Source organism: Homo sapiens, chromosome 16 (genome assembly GCF_000001405.40).
Source record: "Homo sapiens chromosome 16, GRCh38.p14 Primary Assembly".
Classification (NCBI taxonomy): Eukaryota; Metazoa; Chordata; class Mammalia; order Primates; family Hominidae; genus Homo; species Homo sapiens.
Genome location: NC_000016.10, coordinates 16,284,937 through 16,296,018, shown reverse-complemented (window position 1 = coordinate 16,296,018; position 11,082 = coordinate 16,284,937). Strand labels below are relative to the sequence as shown.

General features: G+C 46.7%; 1 protein-coding gene across 2 annotated transcripts in view; it reads right to left on the bottom strand.

Annotated features, from left to right (window-relative positions):
* Positions 1–1,207: 1,207 nt before the first annotated feature.
* NOMO3 (NODAL modulator 3) overlaps positions 1,208–11,082 on the bottom strand; it is a 62,284-nt gene continuing 52,409 nt past the window's right edge. The window contains exons 28-32 of one of the 2 annotated variants that reach the window (XM_005255318.2): positions 10,513–10,614; positions 8,157–8,276; positions 2,275–2,367; positions 1,724–1,851; positions 1,208–1,392 (exon numbers count right to left, since the gene is read on the bottom strand). In XM_005255318.2, coding sequence (XP_005255375.1) covers positions 1,254–1,392; positions 1,724–1,851; positions 2,275–2,367; positions 8,157–8,276; positions 10,513–10,614 — 582 coding nt within the window. In that variant the 3' untranslated portion in view covers positions 1,208–1,253. Of the gene's footprint in view, positions 1,852–2,274; positions 2,368–8,156; positions 8,277–10,512; positions 10,615–11,082 lie in introns of both variants that reach the window. The other variant, NM_001004067.4, reaches the window with a different exon arrangement.

Below are 11,082 nucleotides of genomic sequence, written 5' to 3'. Positions count from 1 at the left end.
AAAACCCCATTAACATTTAAAAGGGATGTTTCTGGGTGTCCACTTGGAATAAGAGTTGGAAAACACTCCAAGAAATGGATCCTGTATTAATATCACATCTGTCCCAGATCTCCAACACTGTTCACTTTCCTTCCACGGTGCCAACACCAAGCTAGCTGATAGGTGGGAACAGGGCAGCTCTGCGGTTGGCCCCCAAGAGCCAGGGAGTCCCCCAAGCTGACCCCCTGGGGTGGCAGTGGCACCTAACAAGAACTTCCACCTTGTTTTCCCTCTCTCTGTTTTGTCCTTTTGGACTCTGCTCACGCATCACATCCAGAAAGTTCCCTAAGCTCTCCAGTGGGATGAGAACTCTGCTCTGTGCTCCTGTGGTCCTCCATGTTCCTCCACCTGGAGGCCCTCGGCTCCCTGCATTACCCCTGTCTACTTACTGACTTGCCTTCTACCCAGTGATGGGCCATGTGCTGTGAGGGCACACACTGTGTGCCCATCTATTCATTCCTCTGTGCGTGCGTTCATTCATTCCTTACTGAATGCCCACCAAGTGCCAAGCATTGGGGTACGAAGAACAAGGCAGACGGGGCCTCCCTGGCCTCTTCCAGCTCGCTGTAGAGTGTTGTCTACCCTACTCATCCTCACATACCCATGCCTGTCCTATGTGGCACTCAATAAATGTCGGATGGATGGATGTGTCCCCTCCTTCAATATCACTTAATTCACTTGATGACTTCCTGTGAGGATTAAGTTTAGCTGTTAAAATGCTGTGACTTCCTCTGGATCTCTGATGCAAGCCGGCAACCTTTAAGCCTCACCCGGCCGACGTAGGCATTTTGTTTGGCCAAAGTGTGTGGTTTTCTTAAAAAAACACTGCATTTGTGGCTAACATTTAAAATTGGGAAAATTTCACGTAAATCTTTGTTTTTCTGGCTTCTCTAGAAAAATGAACGCACATTTCTGCACAGCAGGGGTGAGCCAGAGCTGAGTCCCTAAGCTTCCCTTAGACGTGGTGGGCACACTTCAACTTGCCACAACCTCCACTATCTCCGATTTCTCTATCACTGACGCCAAAAGCTGCTGGGGACCATGTTGGCTGAGCTCGTGTTTTTCCTGCCCCAGCCAGCTTCACTCAGGACTCTGACTTGCTCTACATTTGGCTCAACTGAAGACTCCCGGGGGTTACGTGCATGTCATCCAAGAAATACATCTATGATGAGCTACAACACAAATGAATGGGCCATTTTATTGATTTTTACCTCCTAATAGTGGATACAGGTTGCCGTGGTTTCCAGCAGGATCTCAGATGCAAAGGGAAGTGAAGAAAACAGATGAATCCCTAGGGTACCCCGCCATGGAACCAAACACCACATCAACTGGAACTCTTCTTGCAAACGAAGGCTGAAGATCAAGAATGACATTCTCACACCACAGCACAGCTTAAATACTTCTTTGACAAAAATAATAATAAATTATATTTGACTCAGAAAATAAATTCTGTTCAGCAGAGTGACAGGAGGGTCCATTCATTGCATTGCACGAGGGGCTCTACGGAGGGGTGAGGATGGGTGCAGGATGCCACAGTGACAAGGGACATGGGGTGCGGGCCCAGCAGCACAGGCTGAAGTTAGCTGACGCATGCTTTTGGCTTTTATCCCACGGGCGGGTAGTGGCCGGACCCCTGGCTGTGGCCTGTCCCAAGTGAGACTGCAACTGTCCCCTTCCTCCTCACGTCCGCCTTGTCTTCTGTTTCTTGGCTTGTCTCTTTGCATCTTCTGGGCCGCTATTGTCAGAGGCTGCCTGGCCGAGCGCGCCGACTCCCTGTAGCCGGCTTGTCAACTGCAGCAGCAAAGGAATGAGCTAGAAAAGAGAGAAAGTGTGAGAGAGAGGGGTACAAAGAGGAGGCTTTTGCCAGATGAACAGCGGAGCCTCACTTCTCAACACACCTTCTTCAGACATGATCAGCAGCTGCCACGTGCTAATGGGTGGGTTTCAGTTCAAACGAGGCAGGCCTCTTACTAATGAGTCCCCAGGGATGGGCTGGCCTCTCTCCGGGCCTAATATGTCCCTAGAGGTGTTCCAGGTTTAAGGATTAGGAGATGTTACAGAAGTTTACAGCCTTGAAAGGAGACCTAAGTCTGGACTTGAGGCCTTCACGGGCCCTCCCGACCGGGAAATGTGATTTCTGTGACCCTGGACATCCCTCTGCTATCACTCCTGCAGCTGTGAGGACTCGCTCTCCCTGACATGCCCGCCATCTCCTGAGGCCTCTGGATTTCCTACCTTGTCATGGTTGTAACCGGCCAGCAGAACCAGCAGCGTCAATGGCAGGGCAATGTAGGATCCTTGTGCGATGTCCTGTTCAGGCAGCTTCCTCTGCAAACACCGAGAGCCCCATCACTCCTCACCAAGGCCACAAGCTTGTCCATCATCCACAATGCCACAGCCACCACCCACCCAGCCTTCCAAAGTGGCCACTTGAGGACACCCAGGGGCCCTCATGATCCAAATTCCTTCTATCCAAAGGAAGGAACCAAAGTGATTTGGATGTATTTTCCCATGAATCCTCTTCTGCCCAAAGCTTCACTATTTGCTTCTGAAACTCAGGGACAAAGAGATTCCAATGACAAGGCATTCCTCAGCCTCTGGACCCTCCTCCCAACTGAGGAAATGAAGAGATGCAGCTATCAGAGAGTCTTGGTGGTTGAAAAGCAACTGGGTCTCAGTTTGTTGAGTCCCAGCAACATGCAGGGACTTAGTCCTACAAGGATGTATCAAGAACCTACAGTTCTAGACCCAGGGCACACAGTGATGGGCAGCTATTCCCAGCCAGTACGGTCTAGTGAGGAAGCAAAGCAGGCACTGCTACTAGCATCCCTGTGGCCATTCTCCCTTTCTCCCAATAGAACCCCCAACTTTTATCTGGGCCACCGACAATATAGATCACCTTTTCCAGCCTTCCCTGCAGCAGGCGCAGCCCTGGAACTAAATTTTGGCCAATGGTACAGGAACAGAAGCGGTAAGTGCCACACCCTGGCTGGACCCTAGGGAAGTGGTGTGCCCTCCCTTTTGCTGGGTAGACAGCATTTGGCCAATTGCCCCATTTTGGAGAAAAGCAATGCACTGGAACAGCACAATGAGACAGAAGGGGCCTGGGTCCCCTGACGCCTTGGAGCTACCAGACTATCTCTGCACTGGTCACTCCTGGACACTTGACATGAGACAGACATTTCCATCTTGCTAAAGCCCCTGAAATGCTGGGTTCTAAAGCATCAAGTGAACCTATATCCCATTGGCCCACTCTACTCTCATAAAGGAAGCAAATAAATGGAAGGAGAACTTCCCAATAATGATAAAAACAAGTTAATGAGCCAGAGCAGTGTTCTCAGTGTAGGATACCGGGACTCCTCTCGCAGAGGTTCCCGAGGCCACAGCTATTTTCAGCCAATAGTAAGATGTGATGTGCCTTTTCCGCCCTCTTTCATTCGCAAGCACACAGTGGACTTTTCCAGAGACTACGCACCCTGATGTCATCACGCCCACAGCTAACGGAATGTGTAGCTTGTGAGTTCTTGCGTTTTCAACATCTCGGTTTTAATTACTAATATGATAAATATACACAGAGATAATCCATGCAAACTCAAACTCTTTAAAATCCTCAATAATTTTTAACAGTATAAAGGGGTCCTGCAACCAACCCATCCGAGAACTGCTGGGCTAGAGAGTGACTGTGGGGGCCGCTGTACCTGGGATGCCCTTTCATAAATGAAAGAATAAGGGCAGGAACAGATTTCCATCAACAACTGCCTACTCCTGTATCTCTGGACATCTCTTAGAACCCAACCCATTTTTCCACTGAAGTAAACACTTACTTAAAAGTTTAATTCAGGCCAGGTGCAGTGGCTCACGCCTGTAATCCCAGCACTTTGGGAGGCTGAGGTGGGCAGATCACCTGAGGTCAGGAGTTTGAGAACAGCCTGGCCAGCATGGTGAAACCCCGTCTCTATAAAAATACAAAATTAGCCAGAAGTGGTGGTGCATGCCTGTAATTCCAGCTACTCAGGAGGTGAGAATCACTTGAACCCGGGACGCAGAGGTTGCAGTGGGCCAAGATCGTGCCACTGCACTCCAGCAGGGGCAACAAAGCAAGACTCTGTCTCAGAAAAAAATAATAATGAATAAATAAATAAAAGTTTAATTCAGCAGGAATTAAGAGTGATTCAGTCTAGGCTCAGGTCCCAGGCCTCACTGGGTAAACTCAGGCAACCACGTTGAGACTCAGTTTACTCAACTATGACATGGAGATCATATGAACAACACCCACTGGGGGTGGATGCTGTGAAACTTGATGAAAGGAGTATGTGAAATGCTCAGCAGGGCATGGAATACTGAGTAAAATCCAGTCGCGAGGCTGTGGGCAGTCACATCAACAAAGAAGGAAACCAATGTGCTTACAAAGCCCCCGTGAACATGCAATGCTGAGCCACTCATCACGCGGAGGGCAGAACGAGGTGGAAACCATGTGGCTTGAGACAAACTGCCTCACTTGAGTCCTGGTTCTGCTAACACTCAGTAAGTGACTCAATCTTTCTGGGCTTCTGTGAAAATGGGAGGAATGGCACACCTGCTTGAAGGCTTGTTGTGAGGATCAACCTGTGAGGGCCCTGTACGGGGTGGCACAGAGTGGGCGCTCTCTTCATTCAACACTTGGCCCTGCTCGGGAATCCAAGCCCCAGCAGGCACAGCTTTTTTTTTTTTTTTTAATTATACTTTAAGTTTTAGGATATATGTGCACAATGTGCAGGTTAGTTACATAGGTATACAGGAAGGGGAACATCACACACCAGGGCACAGTTTCTTACATTCTCAGAAGTGACAGGCAGCAGCTACGAGGCTGGGCTGCTCGGCCACCACCAAGCAGTGTCTCCACATTCCTGCCACTGGCTCCCAGGTGTGTCCCTGAGCCCGGATGAGTTGTCTGCTAGGGGCCCCTGAGAATGTCACTGCCTGCAGCTATCAACGGCCTTCACAGAAGCCTCTCCCAGCAACTGGGCCACAATGCAGCCCCAAGCAAAGGTAAGTGGTTCTTGTATATGCTTATCTTTCTGGCACTTTCTTTTTTTTTTTTTTTTTTGAGACAGTCTTGCTCTGTCGCCCAGGCTGGAGTGCACTGGGGCTATCTTAGCTCACTACAAACTCTGCATCCCAGGTTCACAATTCTCCTGCCACAGCCTCTCGAGTAGCTGGGATTACAGGTGCGTGCTACCACGCCTGGCTAATGTTTGTATTGTTAGCAGAGATGGGGTTTCACTTTCACCACATTGCCCAGGCTGGTCTCGAACTCCTGACCTCAAATGATCTGCCCACCTCAGCCTCCTAAAATGCTGGGATTACAGGCGTGAGCCACCACACCTAGCCCTCTCCAGCACTTTCTAACCAGGTCTCTACTGTGAGTAACAAGGAAGTGTTTCCTCGTGGGTCATGAGAAAAACTCTCTTGTTCAGGTAAGATCATATTTACAGGCTCACTGAGCATGAATCACTCTTCACAGAAGCCCAGAATCAGCAGCAGAGCTCTGCTCAAGCCCTAGCACTGCTCCACGTGAGCTGGTGACCTTGGGCTGCTCACATCTCCTTCTAGGTTCCCATCTTCTCATCTCTAAATGAAAGGTAATTCCTGTCCACCTTCCATGCAGGATGGCGTTTGAAAAGCATGAAATGGTAACTGGATAGCATGTGGAAAAAGACAATCTGGAGCCATACTTCACATCTATACCAGGAAAAACTCCAAATGGATAGAGAGATTTAAATGTAAAAACAGAAACTATAAAAGTCTGCCTGAAAAAAACACGATAAATTCCTGTAAAAGCTGGGAATGAAGAAAACCTTCCTATGACTCTAAAATCCAGAAGCAATAAGAAAAAATCAACACATTTAACACAGAAATAAAGTAAATCTTTGCAGAAACCAAGTGAAAAGATAAATGACAAATTGGGAAAAATATGTACAACAAACATTACAAAGGGTTAATATTCCTAGTATACAAAGAGCTGAAAATGGTTGAAAAAGACCAAAAATTCTATAGAAAAATAGGTTAAATAGTTCACAGAAAATACAAATGGCTCTTAACCACATGAAAAGAGAGAAATGCAATTAGAAGTACAGTGAGATAATATCACTTCTCATCTATAAGCCTGCAAAAATTGAAAAATTTGACAAAATACTCTGTTGGGGAAAAAAGGGTACTCATTCACTGCTGGCGGGAATATAAAACAGTAAAACCCCCATGGATGGGAAGTGGCCGTATCAATCAAAATTCCGTATGCATTTACCCTTTGACTCAGCAATTCCACTTCTGGGAGTCTATTCCAAAGAGAGACTGACGAACACTCAAAAACATGCATGCGTAAGGCAATTCATTAAAGGGTTATGTGTAATAGCAGAAAACCAGTAACAACACAAACGCCCCTCAACCAGGGGCTAACTGAATATCCTACATGTAGTGCCAGGATCTGAATGTGTCTGTGCCTACGTAATTCATAGGTTGAACCCTAATCCATAATGTGATAGTGTCAAGAGGACACCCTTTTTAGGAGGTGATTAAGTCAGGGATTAATGCCCCGTAAGAGTGGCCTGAGGGAACTTGTTTGCCCCTTTCCGCCTTGTGGGGACACAGCTAGGTGGCACCATCTATGAAGCAGACAGCAAGTCCTCGCCAGACCCCAAATCTGCCAATGCCTTGATCTTGGACTTCCCAGCCTCTAGTACTGTAAGAAATAAATGTTTGTTGTTTATAAGTTACCCAGTCTAAGATACAAAATAGCAGCCCAAATGGCCTAAGACACACGGTATATCCACACAGAGGAATGCTGTGTCGTTATCAAAAAAGGAAAAAGGAGGATCGGAGGATATTGTTCCACTTACAGTTACATCTTTTGAAAACAATAAAGTTCTTATTCTGCCCACTGAAAAGGCCTAGAAGCAACAACCAACACAGTAGCTATGAGGCCAGATTTTTGTTTTTAATGCAGACTCCTGTGCTACACTTTCACCCCGTCAAGTTCAGAATCAGCAGTCCTGAGGCTGAGCCCTGGACTCTGTTTTTGCTATTGCTGATGTGTCTGTTTAATCATCAGGTGACAATACTGCATCTGAGCTTTAGGAATCACTAAACAATTTTATCAAGAAGGTAAAAGATACGTGTATGTTTTGTTTGTTCCACTGTTCCAGCCTATCGGATACAGGACAGACCGTATGCAACAGATACACATATTGCAAATAGTAAGGGCCACATATTGCAATGAATTAAGCGATAAGTTAAGTTTCTTTTAACCCACAGGTATTCTGTCCATCTGTTGTTGGTTTTTTTTTCCTTGCAATTTATTTGTCAAACAAATCAGGCTCCAGGTGGTTGTCCTGCATCCCTGTGGAGTCATTTGCGTGCTCCTGGGTCCTCCCTATTTCCTGTAAAGTAGCAGTTGGTTCTAGGGGTTTGCGTGGCCATGTACCATGTGCTCCCTCATGGAGAAGCACACGCCACACCAGCGATAGTGGTGTCCCTCCTCCCCCAAAATCATTCCTGAGCCACCGATCTAAACAATTACACTGCTCTTATTACCAGTTTCCTCCTCAAAGGGAATCGCAGGCATCAGTGCTCAGAAAAGCTAAAAACAATCTGGGGAAGCCCAGAATCCAGAAGGCAGAATGAGAAAGTGACCCAATGCCAGGAGCCCTTTAAATATCTGCCCTGCAACCTGCGACCTGGAGCACAGGTTGTATGGACATGCCTTCTTTTGCCACCCCATGGATTGTTTTGTTTTGTTTTGTTTTGTTTTGTTTTGTTTCTTCTGGAGAAAGGGTCTCACTCTGTTACCCAAGCTGGAGTGCAGGGGCATGATCATGGCTCATCGAGGCCTCAACCTCCCAGGCTCAAGTGATCCTCCCACCTCAGCCTCCTGAGTAGCCGGGACTATAGGTGCGTTCCACCACGCCCGGTTAATTTTTGTATTTTTTGTAGAGTTGGGGTTTTACCGTATTGCCTAGGCTGGTCTGAAACTCCCGGGCTCAAGAGATCCACCAGCCTTGGCCTCCCAAAGTGCTGGGATTACAGGCGTGAGCCACCAAACCCAGCCCATGGATTTTTTTTTAACTCCCTCTTTTACTTACCGTGGGATTAAAAATCAAGGTGATGTGTTTATGGTAGCCCACTGCGGTGAAAGAAACTTGAGGCAAGATGTAGTCATACTGGGATCTGGGGAGTGTGGAGTCCAGAAGCACAACATAGTTCTGTGCACACATGGGAAGAAGTTATTTTTATAAGGACAGCTCTGGCAAAGCAAATGAAAACTAAAACCTAACGTATGGCTGTGATGTAAAGAACTTTATGTTTTTAAAGAAATCCCCAAGACTACACATCCAAACCAAGGTTGCTGCCTTCAAAGTATCAACCTCAGCGGGCTATTCCATCAGTGGCGGGCATGTGTCCCCAGTGTCTCTGAGACTGTGGCTTCTGATAAGGCTGTCAGAGCCTGCAGCCTTTTTATGAGTACCCAACCTTGACAATTACGGTCCTCTGAGGATCTGACTTTATGAAACACAAAAAATTATTATGAGCCAATTCTGATGAGGGAGGTACGTGATACAACTGAGGATCCACAACGGGGCTGACTTCTAAGGGACGATGCTTGAGAGGCTCGTAAGCTGGCAAATCCTAAAAATACAGCATCCCTGGAACGGCACCAGGGGCAGCCACAGCTCTGTGTGCTGAGCACCGACCAGCTGCCAGGCACCATGCACATTGCATGAGGCCCGTCACAGCTCTGTGTGCTGAGCACCGACCAGCTGCCAGGCACCATGCACATTGCATGAGGCCCGCGGCTGCTTTGCTTTCTACCACTGGCAAGGTCGGGATCATCACCCCGTCTTATAGACGAGGAAAGTCAAGCACGAAGAGACTAAGAGTAACTTGCCCAAGGTCACTCAGCTAAGAAGGCTGCCACACATCTATGAAGGCTCTGAACTCAGGGGAAGTGTGACCCCAAAGCCCAAGATGTTTCCGCATCGCTGTAGGAAGTGACTATTTCAACACCCCTGGAGAAAGAGGAGGAGAAAATTCCGTGACAGCCTGTTTCATTATTTCGCAGCCATTTTCCACAGAGAAAGGCCAGAGTAGATCATCTTCACGGCAGGTGGTAAGGAGCCAGGAGAGGAAACGTCACCCTCTAGGCTCACACTTGACATCCTCAGGCTAAGACCACCAGAAAAGAACCAAATTCTTTGCAAAGTTTGCACTCCCCACACCAACTACAAGTTAGCTCTGTCCAAATAGAATTGATAATAAGCACTTTATAATCAGTAAATGACGGCCAGAATAATGGCTGAAAACTTCCCAGTTCCAAGGAGGGAGACATCCAGATTCATGGAACCCAAAGGACACTGAAAAGGTGGAGCTGCAAGTGTTCTACACGACACACGTTATAATCAGATTATCAAAGACAGAGAGAACGTTCAAAGCAGCAAGAGAAAAGCAACTCATCTCATTCAAGGGATCCCCCATCATGAGGAAACTGTATTTCCCTAAACTCAATAGCAGAATGTTAAAATAGAGGAATTTTTAAAAATTACAAGGCATTTTTAAAAGTGGACTTCTTAGCAGGAAAGCATGGGGTGATATGTTCAAAGTGCAAGAGTCGATCATGCCCAACAGTAGGCCTTGGTTAAATAAATCATCGCGTTTCCTAGTTTATGGACTACTGTCCATAAAAATCATAGTATGAAAGATTTGGCCAGGCACGGGGGCTCACGCCTGTAATCTCAGCACTTTGGGAGGCCGAGGCAGGTGGATCACGAGGTCAGGAGATCAAGACCATCCTGGCTAACATGGTGAAACCCCGTCTCTACTAAAAATACACAAAAAAAAAAATTAGCCGGGTGTGGTGGCGCACGCCTGTAGTCCCAGCTACTTCGGAGGCTGAGGCAGGAGAATGGTGTGAACCCAGGAGGCGGAGCTTGCAGTGAGCCCAGATTGCGCCACTGCACTCCAGCCTGGGCGACAAGGCGAGACTCCGTCTCAAAAAAAAAAAAAAAAGAAAGATTTGATGATGAGGAACAGATTTGTGATAAATTCTTCATTGAAGAGCATGGATTACAAAACAATGTACAAAACAGTGTCAGTTTTGAATTATTAAAATAAATGTCTATTTATATTTATACATGCATGCGCACACGTGCCTGAAAAAAGACCCAAAGGATACCAATCACCATGTTAGCAGTGGCTATTTCTGGATGATGGGCTTATGTCTTCTTTTTCCCAAAATCTCCTGCCATGAATATGTATTCTTTTTGTAAACAGAAAAACAATGAAGAAAAAATAATCCCTACAGAACCCAACCTCTTTTGATTCAGAGAGCGCATTTCTGCAGAGTGGTATTTAGGGAGAAAAGGAGAGAACTGTGCTTCCTTAAACTAAACAGCAGAATTATTAAAACAAAGGCAGAAGGTAGAATCCGGCCACAGGCATTACCTCGCCATCTCTGAGCAGTGGGGGGAAATGGAAGAACAGGGACTGGCCAAGGGAAACTGTCTGGATTGGATTGTCGAGGTTTTCGCTTTTGTAAAGCTTGACCTGGAGGGAGAAACAAAGTCAGACATGCTTTGAAACTGAAACACAATCAATATTTCATAGCAGACATCCTCAGGACAGCCGCTCTCTGGGTAGGTGTCTTTGGAAACATGGATATTTGAAAAAGAAAGCTCCCTCCATAGACATCACACATCCCTCTGTCATCTGAGACTCCATCCAGTTATGTATCATGCACAGAAATTAAGATTCAAATCAGATTCTGACTACCCATGTTCTTGCTCAAAATAGTAATATAAGTTAATATAATAGTAATATTAAAAATAGCTTCTAACACGTGTTGAACATCTGTAATATGCCAGGCAGGCGCCAGATATTTTATCTACATTATCGCCAATCCTGACTACAAAACAGGTATTGTTATTATCCCTATGGAGACCCAGAGAGCCAAAGTCACCTAAGGTCACACAACTTACACATGGTAGAGCCTGGGACTCAACCCCCTGACGACTC